This window comes from Homo sapiens, chromosome 5, assembly GCF_000001405.40.
Source record: "Homo sapiens chromosome 5, GRCh38.p14 Primary Assembly".
Lineage (NCBI taxonomy): Eukaryota > Metazoa > Chordata > Mammalia > Primates > Hominidae > Homo > Homo sapiens.
The window spans coordinates 167,898,952-167,920,294 of record NC_000005.10 but is presented as its reverse complement, the minus strand read 5'-3'; the positions used below and the strand labels follow the sequence as shown (position 1 = coordinate 167,920,294).

Sequence of the window (21,343 nt, the reverse complement as noted above, 5' to 3'; positions counted from 1 at the left end):
GTCGAGAACTCCTGACCTCAGATGATCCACCCTCCTCGGCCTCCCAATGTGTTGGGATTACAGGTGTGAGCCACCGCGCCTGGCCCATACAAATATTTTTTAAGTGATTTAATTTTGGCGTTTAATCCTCATTCATTTATCAGAAGCCACCAATAGGGTCACTTCTGAAACGTAGCAGTTTTGCATTTTTAGTCTGAGCATCTACTTGAATTGTGCCTCCCATAGCCTCTCTATTCCCATCTCCTTTCCTGCCAGATGGACTCATCCCAGAACAATCCTCAGGCACTCCGAAATGCAGATGCCCTGATGTGAGTCCTCTTACTTCTACCACACTTGCCTTTTCTCGTCCAAAAAAAAGAATGTCTTGATTTATTCCATTTCTAGTGGCCACACACTCTTGTGGGAATTTAGGAAACACAAATAAAACTGGATGTCGTGATAGTCATAATAGTTGTGATCCCGTCTTCCTCTAAGAGTGTTCTCCAGTTATTTCACCAAAGCACTCTGATAGGCACTCATACATTTTCAGTTTGCTTCTCATAAATTCTTCACCACTTGCTATTCTATATGCTTTCTGTAAGGGGATTTCAGGAAGTGAGACCTAGATCTACAGCTTCTCTCCAAACAAAATGCATCCCCCTTAAGTTTCAGATCAACGCTGCTCTCAGAAAGCATTTTTCCTCTTAGGTCAAGGGGTTACCTCTTCGCCTCCCGTTCTGGGAACCCAAGGAAACCTGAGCTCTTCTCCTTTACTTAGAATAAAAGCCAAGGAATAATGTGTCCTTAAACTATAATTTGCTTGCATTCAGAGGCTTCCTACCCAATACCACAATAGTCCTCTATGTAAATCAGATTTATTTATTCATAGGCACTAGCATTCCATTACTTTCATCAAAACCAGTCAAGCTGCATTCAGCGGTTTCTGCATTCTTATAAACTAACTGGAAAAGCAATTAACATTCGCCAGCACTTTAGACAGTGGGGAGAGGGTGAGGGACCCCACCACACTCTCGACAGCACAACCTCTGTAGGCGGATGGCGGTGCAAAATGACTGCTCCTCTGTGTCGAGGGAGATAAGAGAAGTGACACAGATTAAAACAAATTGTTGATCCATACCAGGGAGAAGCTAGGGAAACAATAGAAGTAAAAGCATAAATGTCAATTTGGGATGATAAAGGATACAATCTAAACGTAATATGAGAGGCCCCCAGACAAAAGCAAGAAATAGAGATTGCACATTAGTGAAGCATCAAAGTACTGGAGCATTATAATACACACACAGTGCACACACGGAGTCATATGCTCCCAGCATATGAAAATACAAGCAACACATTGTTGATTGCTCAGCAAACCCAATTATGAATTAACTCGCTATTGCAGAAATTCTCCAAAATTATGCTCATTTCAAGCTGCTCGGAAGAACATTTTGTCCCCGTGGTAACTTTGCTTCCCATATTGGCTTCATTCTCCTGCTCCTTTTTCTTCTAAGTGCCTACAGGCTACAAAAAAAAAAAAAAAAGGAGAAAAATATCCAATCCCAAACGAACTGCTCTGGTTGTCAGCCTAACAGGAGGTGCTGGCCAAATGCTTACTGGTCTCTCTAATAGAAAGATTAAGAGTGAGGTCAGCCTGCAAGGTCACCATCTCAGCTTCCAAAACACTGCCACACGGCTCCTGTCTCCCTCCCTGGCAGTGTGCTTGATAAGTCAAGATCTGAGAATTCATTCCTAATTACTCCAGTGTCAATTCCAGTCCTGCCTTTATGGTGACAAAAATCAAACTGCGGGCTCAGCTGTGGCTCTGTCTAACATAATAGCTGCAGCTTGCTAATTCGGCAGGTAAGAGCTTATAGGGAGACGTGCAGGTGGTGACGTGTCCCACCGTCCTCCCAGACGAGGCAAGCATCTCATTCCTGATGGGCTTCAAGTGTCAGGGTGGCTATTAATTCTCAGAATGGTCAGCCTGATGCAGTGGGCCCCAGGGAACCAGTCACATCCTGAAAATGTTCAGCGCTCGCTCAATACACATCTCAGAGCTCCTTTTTAAGGACCTATGGTAACTGTTTGTATTCACTCAACACAACCGCTAAGCTTTCATAAAAAGAGAAATATAAATAAACCCGTCATGATCTCACAGATGCAAGGCTAAAACTGCATGTAGAAATCAATGTTTTGAAAAGCAGGCAGTGTTTTTTTCTCACTGTTGTTTAACCTTCACGGAGCACTAACTTTGTGCTAAGCACTGTACTAAATGTCATATGTCAGTAAGCAGTGATTGTTGTTATTGTTGTCTTTTATAGCCAAAAATAGTAATAATAATAACCTATAATAATAACACTAACCAATAATAATAATAATAGAATAATATTGGAGCGGTTACACAGATTCTTTATTTTACACAATACTTTGTCACAAGGTTCCCTTATGGAGACTTTTGTCAACATGTTGAACTATTACCTTGAAGGTCACTCAAACTAGTCAACGCACTTTGAATCTCCATCAAATGCAAGGCAACATACTAGGGAGATAGACAAGTGTGAGACCCCTTTCAGTGAAGGCTTCTTGATTCACTCCAACTCAACTATGAACTTGTAGGGCAAGAACTGTGTCAGTTACAGGGAGAAGTGCTTTACATGGATTTTTATCACTCATCCTCACCACAAAATCCCCATTTCCTGGGCAAGGACCCTAAGACTTAGACAGGTGAGGTGGGGTTTTCAAGGTCACAAGCAAGCAGGTGGCAGTGCTTTGCTCCTCCTCCAGGCTGTCATTACGTACCCTTGCTCCTACTCCCAAATAGGTGGAAATAAATTCCTTAAACTTGGTAACTATTATTTTAAAAACTCCCTGCCTAGGGAAGCCCCAGGATTCCCAACTCACAAATGAAGCCAGTGCGGCACATCTACTGGGTTTAGAGCGCCCAATCCCTACAACCCCCCGAGACTCCAGCACCACATCCATGCATGAGGCATTTGCAGCTAATTGCCCCTTTCTTTTTGCTCGGCTTCTGAGGGAATTTTCTCTTGGGCTAGAACTGGGATTTGCGAATCACTCTGGAATCCACAGGCATCTTGTTTGGTGAGCAAGTCTCTTAGTGTACCTCAGTTTCCACATTGTAATCTAGGAGTGAGGGAAAGGGAGTGGGTAAAATGAAGGAAAGATGAGCTGCTGCAAGAATTCCTCCTTCCAAAAAATTATCAGGTGCATCTGATGCCTGACAGTATCAAACAAAGGCCTTTCCCTGAAAGGCACCGGTACAGTACCTCCCCTTCAGGGCAAGCTTTTCCTTCCTGCCCTAGCCCTGGGTGATGGTTACATACCTCCCATTGCAGCTCTGAGTGAGAAACCCAAAGCAGCTCCCTGCTTAAGCAACAACACCAAAACCACGTGAGGGCAACAATGCTGAGATCAGCTGCGGCTGCTGCTGTTCTGTGGAGGGCAGAGCCTGGGCTGATGGTTTTGCTTACCCCAAGAAGGAACTGAGCTGCCAAGGCAAGGGCAGTGGGCCACAGAGAATAAGTGAGGCCTCCCACGGATTTTCTTTTCTTTATTTTTTATTTTTTTTGGTTCTGGGGCCTCCCTCCCTTCCTCTCAGGAAGATCCGAGCTCTGCTCACAGGCGTCTCAGCCTTTCAAGGTGAACTCTACTCCTGGAGATGCGCTTCTCGGCAAAGGCTGGGGGAGAAGGGAGGGAGGGGGGCCAGATCAAAGCTGGCTTTGAAGTGAGTATAATTTTTGGAATGTTGCTAAGAGTATAACACACAGTTCAGCAGGAAATTGGCTCTGGAAACAGCTTTGTAGTTGCTCCCCGGGATTGATGATTTCCCTGACCTGGTGGCAAAGGTGCACCACCGAGCAGTGGGGGAGATGAAGATTGCTGCTTCTCACCGATCTGATTTAAATTTTTCACCAACCAAGTCCTTTGGCTCTGACTCATTGAACAAAAATGTAGTACAATAACGTCTGAAGGTACCAACCCCCCAGAGACACCAGGGGCCTTTCAATGGATTCGGAGCTGGTTCCAAGACTGGACATCCAGGATAGAAAGAATATTTTGCTTCCAGCGGCAGACTGGATAAAGCAAGCCACGTACTCACAAAAATAGTGACGGTTCTTTGACTGCTGGCGAAGCCTCAGACCCTGCGCTAATGGACATAACACAAACTCATGCGATAATCCATGAAAAGTGTTGAGCACAGTACCCGGCACCTGGCACGTGCACGATATCTGTTATTAGCTTCTTTAATCCTCATCACAAACCTATAAATTAGGCCCTTTTTAAAATCCTCATTTTACAGATAAGGAAACTGAGGCCCAAGGAGACCAAATAACTTCTCTAAGGTCAGTCAGATAAGATAGCAGTGTGGATAATCAAATATACCTATTGCCCACATTTCTCACTCATATACCATGTCACTTGCATGGACAAGATTACTTAACAGCAAGTCTATTTTGGAAGAGTAATTACCCTCCCAATCAAGGAAATACAATCTTTTCATGAAATAAAATGCTGAGTATGTTTTCCTAGGGAAAAAGAAATACAGATCATCTTTCTTGTTAATACATAGGTTTTCTCTCTCAGGGATGCTATGAAGGCTGAAGGTGTTCTGTTCTTTTGGTTTATGCCTTTAATTTTTGTTGTTGTTTTTGTTGTAAGGGGAGGGATTGGAGAATGGGGATGAGGTGATAATTGGTGAATCGATACAGGGGAACAAAAGATTTTGCTGGGAAAGTGAGACCCACCCACATGCTTCAAATATCAGCAGAGGAACAGAGGCCAATGCCAGCTGAAGGGAGCTGGTGGTTGGTGGGGGTGTAGGGGAGAAAAGCAATTCAATATGGAGCAAATTTTAGCGAACAGGAGGGGAAAAGACACTTCCAAGAACGGATTCAGACACCTTACATGAAAGCTCAGTTGGGATGAGATTTGACCATATGTTGTAGGGATTTAATTTCTTCCTGTTTTCCTGTCTTTCCATCTCCCTTCCCTACTCCTGTGGACTACAACCCTTTCTGACAATACCACGTCTAGCTGTGCTGCATGTGTCATTTGGGGTCTACCTTTTTTTGCAGTAATGGACATTGAGATGTTAGCATCTCAAGGTTGGGGAAAAACTATCTCCATCCACTCTACACTATCATCTTCTCATCCCAATCGGGAGTGAAGGGAGGTATGGTAGGTGGGATAATGGCCCCCTAAAGATGTCCACAACCTCATCTCCAGAACCTGTGAATATGTTAACTCGCATGATATTATGAGTTAAATTGTGTCTCCCCACCACAAAGATATGTTGATGTCCTAACCCCTAGGACCACACAACGTGACCTTTTTTGGAAATAAGGTTATTGCAGATGTAACTAGTGAAGATAAAGTCATACCTGAGCAAGTGGACTCGTAATCCAAAATGACTGGTGTCCTTATGAGAAGACAGCCACGTAAAGATGCAGAGAGACACAGGGAGAGCACCGTGTGACCACACAGGCAGAGAGAGAGTGAGGTGTTGCAGCTGTAGGCCAGGGAACACCAAAAATCTCTGGCAACACCAGAAGCTAGGGAGAGACAAGGAAAGATCCTCCCTGAGAGGCTCAGGGAGCATGGCCCTGCTGACACCTTGACTTTGGACTTCTAGCCTCTAGACCTGTGAGACAACAAATGTCTGTTGTTTGAAGCCACCCATTCAGTGGTAATTTGCAATTGCAGACCTGAGAAATGAATAGAGATGGCCAGGGGGAATGAAGGTTGCAGATGAGGTTAAGTCGACCAATCAGCTGACGTTGAGATGGAGAGATTATCCTAGATTATCTGGGTGGACCCAATGTAATCATAAGCGTTCTTATAAGGGAAAGAGGGATGCAGAAGAGAGAGAACCAGAGAGACAGGAGCATGAGAAAGACTCAGTCTAATGATGTTGGCTTTGAAAACAGAGGAGGGGACATGAGCCAAGGAATGCAGGCGTCCTTTGGAAGCTGAAAAAGGCAAGGAAATTCAGCCTTGCTGACTCCTTGATTTTAGCACAAATCAAACCATTTTGTACTTCTCATTTCCAAAACTCTCAGATAATAAATGTGTGTTTTTAAAGCCACATCACTGTGGTAATTTGCCATAGCAGCCATAGAAAACTATTGCAGGGAAGTAATGCTGAACTTGTACAAGTCAACTCAGAGAGGTAGAGGTCCCCCAGGCTCAGTCAATATAGGAAGACAGGGGAAGACTCTACTATCCTCCCCTTCCCATTTAAGGCACACAGGTGATTTTCCCTTCTATACACATACAATAAAAAGAGTAGTCATAATAACAACAGCTGCTAACATTTATTGATTGCTCACCAGACGCAGGCACCATTCTTAGCAGCACTTAATATACATGGTCTCTTCTAATCCTCGCAACAACCTTAAGTACTAAACTCTGTGCATATGTCCATTTTACTGATAAGAAGACAGAGGCAATAGAAATTAAATAACTTCACCTAAGTTACAAAGCTGGTCAGTTGTGCAGCTTGGACAGGAATCGACAGAAATGGCAGTTAGGTGGGCATCACAGTAGTTTCTGGAGTAAATAGACTTCCTGGGGATGGGATGGCCAGACAAGCTGGAGAACGAGATATAACCCCTCTGTCCTTTCTGTCTATAAAAGCATCAGGAGAGGAAATGTACACTGCAAGTTGCTGTCTATCTCGGTTTCAGATTTCTATTGTTTCAATTTCTCCACCAGAAACTAGCAGTAGATCAATGCTGAAGATATTCAAAATCTTGAAGCTAGTCTCAATTCAGAAATTGGCAGTAAAGAGATTGAGAAATGGGAACATGTTGCTTTTTTTCTCCCTGTTTCAAATGTAGTGCCAATATCCTGTCGAGAAAAGGATAAAAAGAGCGTCTGCATAAATAAATATGCTTTGTAACACCACTTAAACTTATTCTTCTTGCCCAATATGAAAATATGATTGGTGGCAGTATGTGAAACTTGCTTCTTTACCGCTTTATCAAAGTTTATAAAACCCACTGATCTTTGGCACAAAGTCAACACACTGAAATCCCATGCAAAGAGGATGAAGTCAGCCCATTAGAATGTAGTCAGAAACTCCAGGTTGTACTAGGAGAAGAGGCAGGTGGATGCAGAGTTAAAATGGTCCACCAACCAGCTGGCCAGGGAGCTTGGGTGAGCGCCCCCATGGTTCTCAACATTATGGCAATGCTGCTCTATCTCGCTGAGGTTGCTGCATAGTTTTTTTTCTCTGGAATGCAGGGATGCTATGGAATGAATGCCCCCAGGCCTTTTAAGAGATAGCCCTGTCATCCATCACATCATGCCTGCCTGAACCTTTCTTGCTGCTTGGCTGGTCCTGTTCCATCTGGGAATACCTTCTCCTTTCCTTGCCTTTGCCCAGGGTGTACCAGTGGCTGGCACAAGGAATATTGATGGACAAAATGTGTACATTAAGTAAATTACCCCCACTCTCTAGTTACTCTTGGGAGAAGGAAAGGTATTTTGAATTTCTATATTCAAAATCAGTGTTCTAAAAGTTTCTTATGCTTTGACCATTCCCTTTGCTTCACATCCTAACACGTAACTGACCTCTAACTGTTCCTTGGTTACCTCCAAAGTCATTCCACAGACATTTTTGGCATGCCCATGAGATGCCAGGATCTCAGGGCACAGGAATAACAGACTTGTGCCCTTCCCTTCAGGAGCTCATTGTCTGCAAAAGCAACGTGCAAAAGGACTTTCCACTCACCCACTCCTTCCTCCCACTCCCGTTGTATAATTGATTCAGTTAACATGTGTCGACTGAGTGACTACTATGTGCTACCACTGTACTACCTGCTGGAGAACAACAATGAACTGGGAAAGCCTGGCCTCTGCTCCCAAAGAACTCTATTCAAGAGAAAGCTAAGTCTGCATCAATAGATGAATGGGTAAAGAAAATGTGGCATATATACACAACAGAATACTATTTATCCTTAAAAGAAAAAATCCTGTCATAGTGACAGTAAGCCTGAACCTGGAGGACATTATGATAAGTGAAATAAGACAGGCACAGAAAGACGAATACCACCCCTCTCAATTACACGTGGTATCTGAAAAGGTTGACCTCACAGAAGCAGAGAGTAGGGTGGTGGTTACTAGGGGCTGGAAGGTGGAGATTGGGTAGATGTTGGTCAAAAGATACAAAATTTCAATTGGAATGAGGAATAAGTTCAAGATATCTATTGTACAACATGGTGATTATAGTTAATAACAAAGTATTATATACTTGAAAATTGCTATGAGTAGATTTTAAGTGTTCTGACTACAAAAAAAGTGTGCAAGGTAAGAGATATGTTAATTGATTTGATTTAGCTATTCCATAACATTATGGACATATCCATTACATACATATAACAGAATATCATGCTGTATATCATAAATATATATATATTTGTTAATTAAAAAAGGAAGCTTATTGTAAAAGAGAAACTTAAAATCAATTATTCATGGTAGTAAGCCACCATCCCCAGTTGTACGTATTTCTGTAGTCTGGTAGTGCCCTTGGAGGACAAGGACACTGCCTGGCACACAGCTAACACCAATAAATATTCGCTGCGTGAATGACTGTTGGAATTTACTTATTTCTACACGCCATGGTGAGTACTCCTGCCCCAGTGCTCCTGGAACTAACCCAAAGCACTCCAGTTGTAGTTCCAATGTGTAACCTAGGGTAGGTGCCCAAGAGATATTTGCTGATGTCATCTGAGTTTCTTTTGTTTTTGTTTTGTTTTGTTTTGTTTTTTGAGACGGAGTCTCGCTCTGTCGCCCAGGCTGGAGTGCAGTGGCGCGATCTCGGCTCACGGCAAGCTCCGCCTCCCAGGTTCACGCCATTCTCCTGCCTCAGCCTCCCGAGTAGCTGGGACTACAGGCGCCCGCCACCACGCCCAGCTATTTTTTTTGTATTTTTAGTAGAGACGGGGTTTCACCGTGTTAGCCAGGTTGGTCTCGATCTCCTGACCTCATGATCCGTCCGTCTCGGCCTCCCAAAGTGCTGGGAGTACAGGCGTGAGCCACCGTGCCCGGCCCTTGAGTTTCTCACCTCACTAACCACTCTACAACATGGATTATCATTTTTGTGAAACAACTCCATTCTACAGTAACAATTAAAACCATAGATAGTTACATTCATCCCAAGTAAAACATGATATGATTGTACCTTACTACAAAAGGAAATATAAAATTACTCTTAATTCTTGAGATTGTTGTAGTTGAAAAAAACATCAAATCTTCTAATAAGAAGTTTACGTTTTTTGAGCTCTTAATAACAGGTTTTTGATGCATAAATACGCTTTTTTCCTAGGGTTTGTTTAACCAAAAAATATGTATTCATAAATTGTATAGTCCTCAATTTAGCAGAGATCCAAAGAGAATCTGAGAGTAATGATAGGTTCTTGCTCTTATGAATTTAACTGTGCTGCCATGGATTTACTTATTTTAATGTAACTTAGGATAAATTATTCCTCTATAAATATAACTCCTTCAAGATTAGGAATTTTTTTATTCTGTGGAAGGACACTATTTAGTAAGAGTATTCAAGACAAAGAACGCAAAAAAGCGTTCAGAAACATCTGCTCCATGGAAGAGTGATTTAATAATAGTAAAACTGTAGTATAAAGGTTAGTTTTTTGGAGGAAATAAATAAGAACTGAGGTATAAGTTAGTGGAGTTCAATGATGGGTCTTTTTTGTGTAAGAACAGTTCGGATCTTGGAGCCACAAAGAAATGCAGATGCTAGAAGGTTTCTTTTTGTTTGTTTTTTTGTTTTCTTTTTTCCTCCCAAACCAAACCTACTTTGCATGACTTTATTCTTTTTGCTTGTGATGGAGGGAAAGAGGATATTTAATCACATTTTGAAGAGGCAATTATACTAGGTTTTGGAATTTTGGCTACCCCAGGGACTCACATCTGTGTGATTGTCATTTTCTGTGATTATTGCCCTGAATGGCAAGGGCATTTAATCTTGCATGCCAATTCTGATTGATTAGTAGTAGCTGCCTGGAGGACCGCTGAGAAATATTGACAGGCTCCATCTGTTCCCAGTGGGAAAGAGGGCTGTGATCGATTAGTGATGTCTGCCCTGGGTGCAAGAATGAGAAGTGTGTAGCACATGTGCCTGTATCTGCCAAAATGAAGATAATTCCAAAACCATGAGAGAACATTTTCATTGTGTTGCATTGTAGATAGATAAATTACACATCCAAAAGTACCAGATCAAAATCTCATTTTGTGGAAGTCCTAAGAGACAAGTCATAGGTCAGTATTATATAATTATAAGCCCAATCTGCCCTTCAAAAAAAATATTGACACAGAGTCTTACATTTTGTCTAGATGTGTTTATGCTGGAAAAAAAAAAAAAAAAGCCTTACTCACAATTTCAAAGCCAGGCATTAACTTTGGAAGGCATAATTTCTCCCTAAACACATGACTTTAATAGTCTATCCTCTGTTTTATCCATGAGATAAGTCTGTTCTATATTTATGTTTCTCTCTTCAAAATAAAACTACTTGTTCAAAATTTTATTTTTGATTTGCATGGTAACATCTAGGCATTTGGGTGATAATACAGTCCTCTAAACTTTGGGTTCAAATCCTAACTCTTTGTCTGTTTTTACTTAAAAATGAGATTTCTAATCTTTGCAAATGCAGATTTGATGATTGATTGTTAAATAAAGATTAGATCTTAAGGCTGTAAAAAACCTCTTAACCTAAAATGTACTGACAAATAAGAATTAATGACCACACAATTATAAATGAAGGGCAATATCTGAGTAGTGACAATGTAGATTTCATTGAGTAATTTTACAGTGGCAGTGCAACAATACTTTCAATAAAATTATTATTATTTTAGATTTAGGGGGTACATGCACAGGTTGCAGCAATACTTTTAATAATCCATCATTCCCTATAGAAGGGAGATTAAACACAAGTGATTACATTATGCAACAGAACAAAGGAAATGTAGTTAATACCGTGAAAGTAAGTCAAGGACCACACATTTGGTCCACTTCCCTTACAAAAGTCCAACTGTAAACTCGGACACAGGAGAAAGTAAAAAACAAAGCAAACTTCTGTGTGTCACCAAAGATAAAAAATATATGCTGTAAGTTTCTAGTTTGTTTCCTCTTCTTCCTTTAGAAAAGTGAATTCTCTTCCTTGAAAAAGAATAAAACTGGTTCAATTTTTACTAAAAAAAAAAAAAAAAGAGAGAGAAAAGAAAACGAAAATATAAAATTCAGCAGAAATGTCACACTGAGGAATCATAATAAGAATTAAATATTATTTAAGTCATGCATAACCACTAAAATATATGACCCCTTTCCATAAATTGAAAGGCACTCTATTCAGCAGATTATGGGCCTCAAATGCTGAACTAAGGAAAGCTTCTATGATGCCCATGGTGTGCAGACCTAAAGATTAACTCTGATCTGTGGTAGCTTCCTCTTTACACAAGCAATACACTCTGGCTGGAGAACTGCCAAGCTTGGACTTTCTTTTCTCTTTCCTCAGGGCATATTTGTTGAGAACCTATATGCTGAGGACTGTGTTGGGAAAAGAGAGAAGGAGAGAGAGAGGGAAACAGAGAGGGAGAGAGAAAAAGAAATAGAAGAAAAGCAAAGAGGGGAAGAGAGGAGGGAAGGGGAGGGGAGGGGAGAGGAGGAGAGAGGAAAAGAGAGGGGAGGGGAAGGGAGGAGAGGGGAGGGGAGGAGAGAGGAGAAGAGAGGGCAGGGGAGGAGAGAGGAGAAGAGAGGGGAGGGGAAGGGAGGAGAGGGGAGGGGAGGAGAGAGGAGAAGAGAGGGGAGGGGAAGGAAAGAGAAGGGAGGGGAGGGAAGGGGAGAGGAGGAGAGAGGAGAAGAGAGGGTAGGGGAGGGGAGAGGAGAAGAGAGGGGAAGGGAGGGGAGAGGAGAAGAGGGGGGAGGGGAGGAGAGGGGAGAGGAGAGGAGAGGAGGGGAGAGGAGAAGCGAGGGGAAGGGAGGGTAGGGGAAAGGGAGGATCGGATCCTTTTTCCTGAAAGGATTTACAGCCTGCTGAGGTCCTGCCAATTGTCTCCAGACAACATTTTTAGGCTCATCTGTTACTAACAGAATGTGTGGTTCTAACAAGAGAAAGTCTAGGACAGAGTGATTCCGAGAACCAATAATTGGCCAGAAGTATTAAATCTGCAATCAGAAGGAATGCTCTAGTCAAAAACTCACTTTGATTTTACAGACAGACAGAGATAATCAAATTGAATGTCCTCATTTTACAAATGAGGAAACTGAGGCATATGGGCACGTGACTGGCTCTCTTATGGTTATCTATCTATAAACATGGTGTCTTTATTAACCGGAGAACTTTATCTCCCCTAAGAGGTTCAATGTCATCAGCTCTATCAGATTTAATTAAGTTAGGGCATCATCATTTTAACAAATTGGCTGCATGGTTATTAATGCAAGGTTCGTGGAACTTTTATCTCTGTGGTGGGGCTGCCAGAGACAAGATGGAATACATAACTTCCTAAATTTTTTTAAATATATTTTATAATTTATTTATTGTAGAAATGGAGTCTCACTATGTTTCCCAGGCAGTTCTTGAACTCCTGGCCTCAAGCAATCCTCCTGCCCCAGGTTCCCAAAGTGTTGGGACTATAGGCATGAGATACACCCAGCCATAAATTCTTAGCTCTATAAATATGCTTTAAGAATTTATGATAATACATACATATATATATATATATATATATATATATATATATATATATATATATATTTAGGGTGATCTAAACAAAATTACTAAGGCAGAAAGGCCATCTTGATCAAGAAAGTTATTAATTTTTCCTGGCTACTATTATTTGGACCTTTTAATCAGTTAGTGTTATTAGTGACCACATTTAAAATGACAATGTTCACCTTTCGATACAATGCTTTGTAAACAAGGGTCTGTGAGTTTTTAAAGTTGACATGTAAATGTATGGAATATAGTATTTCAAACTTGTACTCTTTTAAGTTGCTATGCTTCTTTTATTTTTATGTTATTTATTTATTTATTTATTTATTTATTTGAGACGGAGTTTCACTCTTTTTGCACAGGCTGGAGTGCAACGGTGCGATCTTGGCTCATTGCAACCTCCGCCTCCTGAGTTCAAGTGATTCTCCTGCCTCAGCCTCCCGAGTAGCTGGGATTACAGGCATGCGCCACCACACCCGGCTAATTTTGTATTTTTAGTAGAGATGGGGTTTCTTCATGTTGGTCAGGCTGGTCTCGAACTCCCTACCTCAGGTGATCCGCCTGCCTCAGCCTCCCAAAGTGCGGAGATTACAGGCGTGAGCCACTGCGCCCGGCCTGCGTCCTTTATTTTAGATGTCGTCTGCTGCATCATCCAGGATGGAGGGTCTCTTTTAATTAGATTCTATGTCAGGTCTCAAAAATATCTGCTCCTCCCCACTCCCTCCTCTTTTTTTAGCTTTCCTGACTCTCTTTTTTAATCAAAGGGATGTAACGTAGCCAATTAGCAGAGAGCCTAAAAAAAGAGAAGTAAGAAACAACAGGGGGCACCATTCACATTGAACACCCCCCAATGCACAACTTTACATAAAAAACAACGTGAATGGCGCTCCCTGGAGTTGTGTACCCACCCAGAGTACACTCCTTGCCTTCATCAGATGGTCTATGTGGAGTCAAGATCCTGACTCTTAAGCCTCATTATGGACAGGCTGAGGCCAGAGTGGGTAGGAGGTGCAGGTGATTGCTTCAAAATGCTGACCTTGAGTAGTTTTGTCAAAGAAGAAATTGAGGGGTTTGATGGTGGCCACTGAGTTCAGGGTTGGTGCCTTTCTCAGAAAATCAGGGGCTGCACTTGGGCAAACAGGTGCACGGGCTAATTGTCAGCTCCCTGGTGCGGCTTGCTAGTCACTGGAGAGCAGGCTTGCACCTTAGGAGTTCTTTGAAATGTTCACTGATTTGATTGTTTAGCACCACCCACAAGAGGTTCTTAATTGCATTCCTAGAGCATTGGCTTTCTATGAAAATTACTTAAAACACAGCTTAAGTGTTAAATCTGAACTGTGTAATGTGCAATTGAGGGTTTTTATTTTATTTTATTTTTTTTAAAATAACCTCACTCCTGGCTGCCTCCTTGTAGGAAGCTCTGACAGGTTCAGTGGGAAATCTTGGGGCTGGCGCACATTATAAGTTATCTCCTGCAGGGTTGGCAGGTGTGAGCTATGTCAAATAAATTTATTACAGTCTGTGCTAATAATGAAAATTATAGAAAAGCTAGATGAAAGTGCTCTACAGCCAGCTAATTTGAAGCTACCTTACTAGACAATAACAAGCTCCTAACAGTTTTTCCTTTTTTTAAAAAACACTAATTATGCTTAATGTTCCCTGTCGCATTAGCTTTCATGGTAATTATATTTCAAAACTTTTGCAATTAGGGTGCAGTTAATATTGTGGAATATTGCAATTATTTTTCATTGTGACACCTCTATTGAAAGCTGGTGGCATAATGATCACATTGTTCAACTAAATCAGAACTGTAGAAATATGGCAAATGAACCAATTACACATTATTATTTCTAATTACAGATAATGTCATTTTCTCCACTTTTGTCCAAAAGAATTTCTCAAACACAGATATCCCAAATTCTCCTATTTGTAAAGACTCCCTCGTTTTCTCATCCACACACTGGTATATTCTTATATTAGTGCCTTGAGTGCTAAATTTAAAAAGGTCTCATAGGGATTTCTTGGATTTTCTTCCTCTACCCCTAGCCCCCTCCTGTGGAGTTTTTAAGCCAGATGCTCTCATTGAAAAATCTCAGCCTTAGCCCAGCTACTGACAGCGTGCCACTGTTACGAGCTGGTATGAACTTAGCTTCTCATAATCATCTTCAAGGATGGCTCATTTTTATTCATTCAACAGGTCTAAACTCCCATCCCAATGAAGATTCATTCGTGGTAACTCCATCTATCCCAAATACCTTCTAAATAGTGCCTATTTCCCCCTTTTCCCAGCCACAAAACGATGAGGTTGAAAGTTGATTTTTTTAGACTACCTGTGTATTCCGAACTGTCGGGAAATGGAATAGACATCGACAGAGGGTTTCTAGGAAACAGTTATGTTCGCATTTGGGGGTTTCTTTCTTTTTACCTCTGATTTTTCCACATACAACCGCCCTAGTAATAATAGTTGCAACCGTGAGATCATTTTTGGACTCAACATTTCTGATCATGTGTTTTATGAAATGCTGTCTGACTATCCTATAACCATATCCTGAAATATATATGTCAGTTTTACAGATAAAGAACCTGAAGCTTAAAGAGTTGTCCAAGATTTCATACGTACTCTGTGGCTATTAAACTGAGAGAAAGAAGCTCTTTTGACTCAACCACAGACCCTAAAGTCAAAGTGACCAACTGTCCCTTTTGCCCAAGACTGAAGGGTTTCTGAGATGAGGCATTTTCAGTGTCAGCACCAAGACAGTCCTCAGAGAACTGGCAGCGTTGGTCACCCTCCTTATGGGTTAAGTTAACTTGTCTATGAATTGGGAGTTAAAAAATGTTTTATACATTGGGCTTTCTTTAAGTTCTGAGTTTTCTGAATACAAGACAGACACAGGGGGAAATGAGAAAAAATAAATAAAAAGGTGGATTTAATCACTTTCTGATGCTGTTTTCTGATTAGCACGTAATCTCTGTGTGGGGCGGGGCTGGGCATTGTAACTCATACAAGCATGCAAGCTCGATCAGTATCCAGCGTGTGGTAGGGACTCTGTACTTATTGTTATTGTGAAATAATATTACTAATATTAATAGCTTCATTTATAGAGGCCTTATTAAATTACTTTGCTAGTTAAGTGCATTTTCTTAATTAACACACACATCAATGTACTAAGGAAAGCAGTGTTGTACTATCTTTATCCCTTCTTTACCAATGAAGAAACCAAGACATAGAGTCTAGGTGATTGCTCACCATTGTCCAGGTAGGATGTGGGGTGGCAGGTGGGGATGCAGCTCTGATGATCCTCTAACCCATGCTCCTAACCACACAGTGTACTTCAGCTAATCCAGCCCCTTGATGGTATTGACTCTCCAAGAGTTCTAAGACAAAGTATCTAATTTAGGGGAAACAATTTTCTATTTTCCTGCCTGGGGGGCATAAATAGGCATATATTTTTCTGCTTGCCAATAACCATGAGACAGCAGACAACCTTCCCAGGCACATAGCAATGCTTGGAAATTCTCTGTCATCTGGTCTAGATTAAATTGACCGCTCAGATGAATTACTATAACAGCCTCCTAACTAGTCCCCCATTTCAATTCTTGCCACTCTGCAATCCTCTATTCAGCCAGAGTGATATTTAAATACGTGTTTGAGCACACCACATCCCATTTTAAATCCACCAATAACTTCCACTGCAGTGAAATCCCAAACCCAAGCCTCTTGCCATGGCTTGCATCAGCACTTAGCCAACATTGATGTGCTTTCCCAGGAACCACTTGATAATCAAAATTCAGAAGGTCTAAGGTTGGGATTCTCCATTTCTGAGAAACTCCCAGATGCTGCTGATGCTGCTGGTGTGACATCCACCTACTATTCTGTCTCCTTTCAAACTCCTCTCATCTGCCTGGTTACACTGGAGCTGCACACATTTTCTCCTAGTTCCTCAACACAACCAAGAACTTTCCTGCTTCTTGTCTTAGATCCTTTTCCCTGCTGTTTCCTTGACCTGAAAATAGCCCTTCCACCCTCCACCCCCACCCCAGCCACCCAAACCTTGTCACATGGGTGACCGAAATTTCACTTTTCAGTTTCAGCTAAGAAGTCACCTCAAAAGCCTTTTTTTCCTCCATTCTACCTGAGTAGGCGGCTTCATGTGATTGTCTAGCTCAGCACCCTGTCTCTTTCTGGCATCGCTCTCACATTGGTAATCATTATATTTTTATTACTCCAAAATCTTAAATTTCACTTTAGAAGAGAAGCTTCGTGAGCTTAGAGGCCACATCTTTCTTGGGTACTCTTGAGCTCACAATGCTTATAACAGTGCTGGCTTGGGGTAGGTGTACAATTATTATTAGCTGAATGGATGCACCATCCAGCCAAATATAAGATTTACTCTTTTCTTGCATGAAGGCATCTTTTATATATATGTTTTCTAGTTGTTTTTGAAATGTTATTGAATATTGACAAATTATAATTGTACATATTCATGGGGTACAAAGTGATGCTATGATATATGTATACAATATGAAATGATTGAGTCAAGCTAATTAATGTATCCATCATCTCAAATACTTATCATTTATGGTAGATTTACTTAAAGTGCAACAAAACGTTCATGGGAATCACTACCATTTGAACTGCCTTTTCCTTAGGCTGTCAAAGCTGTTTTTCCCAGGAGTACAGAATAATATGTAAAAATGCCAGATTTGTTTTCCTGTTCAGAACAAATACAGCCAACCTAAATGTCCTGCTCCTTTTATATAAAGTGGGGGAGTACAAAAGCAAACTGTCACACACGATCACTTTCCAGGCAGAGCTGAAGTATTGCAATATGAAAACAGGTTCCCCTTCATAAGATACAGAGAGTGACAAAACATTTAAGTGACATCGGGTCTCATTCTCGATGAGTCGGCTGCCATAACACTTTATTTATACAACTCATTCCATTTCTCCCAGGAGTTTTACAACCGTCTTATCAGTTTTCCTCCTGAGGAGGTAACTCCATAGGACGGATTAATCCTCTTAGGCTGGGGCAGCCCCAGGAAGTGAGTTAGGAAGTGAGTTATGTTATCTGTGTCGCGGAGGCAGAAGCTAGGGGCCGAGGAGGCTGGATTGGCCTTGAATCTGATCTTGAGAAGAGTAAGGTAATTAAAACGACAAGGCAACCAACTGCACCAATGACAGAAGCAGAGTTCTTTTCTCCAGCCAGCCTTCCAGATTCCAACCCCAGTCCACACCTTGAGAAGACAGTTTCCAAATCCTTTATAACAGTTGTCGAGCACTTTTTACACTTTGCTTTGAGTGTTTAGATTTACTGAGGGTGAAAGTCTGGTATCTTTCATACTCACTGCAGCTTCTTGGGACAGAGGGTACATGCCCATGCACCCCACCCCACTCCCCACTCCACTCTCATGCACAAACACCCAGAACCTGCTCCTAAAAATCTGTTGCATGTTGGCAGAATTCCACTTAGCCTAACCCAAGATGGCCTCAAGAAATGGAAGGGGATTTGCTCCTCAAAATGAGCCTGCATAAAATGTGCAAAGGATAGGACGATTACTTAGGATATGGGAAAACAGACTCGCTCATACACCGTTGCTTTCTATGCTAATATCACATTTTGTTGGCAACATATAAAGTTATAAAAAGATTAATTGCCTGCGATCTTATATTTCTACCTCTACAATTTTATTATAAGGAAATAAGTATAGATATGCAAATAAATTCTTATATAAAGAGGATCTATTTAGTATTTTACATAACAAAAAATTGAAGCAACAAAAATGCCTGTCAAAAGGGGGTAGATTTTTAAAAATTGCGATGTGCCAGCATGATGGAAGAACATTAATACGGTGCTCTAGCATAATATTTAAAAACATACTATAATATCAATAACTATTATTTACCAAGCAATTATGACTGTACCAGGTGTGGTGCTAGGCCCATTCAATGCACTAATTTATTCCTTCTCACAATAATGTTATGAGATGTTATGAGTATTGCTCCTACTTGACAGATTAAGAACTGCTAGTTAAGTGTTGGAGTCTGGTTTCCAATCCAGGCAGACTGACTTCAGAACCCAAACTCTAGACCACAGTGTCACTGCGTGCTGGTTCATGGTGCTGTATGTTTCCATATGATAGAAGTGTCCTTAGGTAATAGCTCAGCCTGGTATTTGAAAACTGTAAAAATATGTAATGATCTAGAATTAGGTAATACCTATTATATAATTCTATACCACAAATCATAAATATGATTTTTTTCATCCTTACATCAACATTTATTGAGTATCTACCATGTGCTAGGAACCGTGGTAGGTGCTAACAATTCAGTCAGGACCTATTAAGATAAACTGAAAAAGCGTGTGAGAAAGAGAAAGAAAGAGAAAGAGAAAAGGAAGTTATATATCAAAAGGGTAACAGTGATCATCTCTGGGTGTTCAATTTTGGGTGGTTTTCATTGTCTTCTTAAATTGCACATGCATATTCCAATTATTCTGTCGTGTTCTTAGAATGTAGGAAAAAACATATCTAATTCATGTTATTAATGAAAAAAAATTCAAGGAATTAAAAGGCACACATATTCCAAAAAAGACATCTCAGGCCTTTTTTACATTCCTGTCCCCCACCCCGCAGGACTCCTCAGGAGTACATCCAGTCCTGTCAATCTCCCACAGAAAAGTCCCCCAGGTGGTCACTGCTGTCTCCTCTCAAGGCCTCAATCCCACCTCACCCCCCCACCCCAATCACTCCAGTCTTCCTGCTTCCTGAGCCTTCAATCAAGACAGGACACGCCAGGCTGACTGAAGGCTTGACCTATTTCAGACAGTCTTTCTCTGCCACGGTCATAACTAGGTGGTTATTAACCAACGCAGTGATTAACAAGAAAATTAGCCGTTTGAAAACAAGGCCAATCCTCCAGTCCTTCCACTTCAAAAACTAATCTGCATCAGCCTCATCTATCCAGGCTCATTTTCGATGAATTCTCACAGCCAACTTTCACTTCCAAACATGAGAAATGATGTTTTAAAAACCTTGGGCTTATAAATCATTACCCCCACTCCCAACTTTTATTTGGATCATCAGAGCAGCCCTAATGGGAACACATATACAAACAGAGAGGTCCTCATGCCAAGCCTGGAAAAGTTTCTTCTCTTGCCTGCTGGGAATATCATTTAACCTCTCAGTACCGTAATTTCCACCTTCATGATACACAGATAATAATTCCTCCCCCACATAACTGACGGTGGTTTCATGTATGGAAAGTGCTTTGATAATTTTTTTTTTAATTGCAAGAGAAGTCCCAATGCTGTTTCATAGCTCACCAGCTTCTCTCATCTAAGGGCTTCCTAATGCACCAAAGGGAAAACGTTTGCCTCAGTGCAATGTTTCCGGAGAAAGATATCATTCCTTTCCTTTCCAAAACCCCCCCCCCCTTTTTTTTTTTTTTTTTTTTTTAGTGGGTTGAGGGCACAGACAGAAAGATACTGTAAGAAACGGCATGAGATCTAAGCATTTCAGGTGTGAAATGAATTTTTCCTGGCATCATCCAGAATGTGCTCTGAGCTGCCACACTAACTAACTGAGGTTAGGGTAGAATAAAAGCCTTAAATTGAGAACGTCTTTGCGTGAGTGGATTTAAACAAGACCTTTCAAATTAATTTAACATACTTGCTTTTATTTCTCTTTGTTCAGATGTCAACTTTTTGTAAGAGTCGGATGCCGTTCTTTCGCTCCATCCTAATGGGCACTTGGTCATGTGCCCAGCAACATTCACTCCAGAAAGGGAATCTGCTTCCTGTGCAATAGAACTCTGTCTGGAACAACCAGGGAGATGTTTTCATCCACATGGACAGAGATTTCCGGCACCTACTGGTTTTCCCACCCACACTGAGTGTTGCCCTCTAAATGAGTCACTCTGGTTTCCACAGAGAGGTCAGGTGTCTCTCGGGAGCTGGACTTCCTGAATTCACTCCACCACGTTTTATCTGTGTAACCTTGTGCAGGGTACCTAAAATCTCTGTTACCTCATCTGCAAAATGGGGATACCTAATACTTGGAGAGTTGTTGTTGAATTAACGCAAGGCACTTGGCCAGGAGCGTGGCACACGATAAATCCATTGTGAACACCAATTATTATTATTATTGTTATTATTACTATGCTATCATGATGACTTTGCAAGCTTTCTTCTTGCCTGAAATATCTCACCCTCCTTGCCTGTCTTTGGCGTTTGGTATTGCTGGCAATTGACCTTTCCTGCACCCATCCCCCAACCTACTCTTTCTTTAGCTTTGATAATGCGACATTAACGTGACTCTTCTCCTAACTCTTGCCCCTTTTGCTTTCTTCTTCTCTTTCTATTTTTTCCCCTGCACATGCAGGCATTATTGGAGGTTCGGTCCTCTTTCTCCTCTTTTCTCTTTTCAGCAAATGCTCTTCTTTCAGTAATGGAATTCTTGTCACAGGCTTTAAAAATGCAAAATCTCTCTCAGTGTTTCTCATTGTCTCTTCTTCCCCCTCCCTTCATTCCTCTCTATCTTCTCTTCCCTTCCATTCTTTTCTTCCCTCTTGCCTCTCTTCCCTGAAATCCAGACCCAAAGTTTCAGCTGTCTGTTGG

General features: G+C 41.3%; 1 protein-coding gene across 30 annotated transcripts in view, besides 1 other annotated feature; it reads right to left on the bottom strand.

The window, feature by feature from the left end:
- Positions 1-21,343, bottom strand: part of TENM2 (teneurin transmembrane protein 2) — a 1,285,129-nt gene that overhangs the window by 343,863 nt on the left and 919,923 nt on the right. The gene's annotated exons all lie outside the window — the stretch shown is intronic.
- Positions 3,136-4,335: an enhancer, noted in NCBI's record as "CDK7 strongly-dependent group 2 enhancer chr5:167342965-167344164 (GRCh37/hg19 assembly coordinates)". NCBI's record gives its function as "activates an origin of replication core promoter dependent on BRD2, BRD4, P300/CBP, MED14 and CDK7 cofactors, with strong dependence on CDK7, by STARR-seq in HCT116 cells {active_cell/tissue: HCT116}" and the evidence as "EXISTENCE:reporter gene assay evidence [ECO:0000049][PMID:35650434]".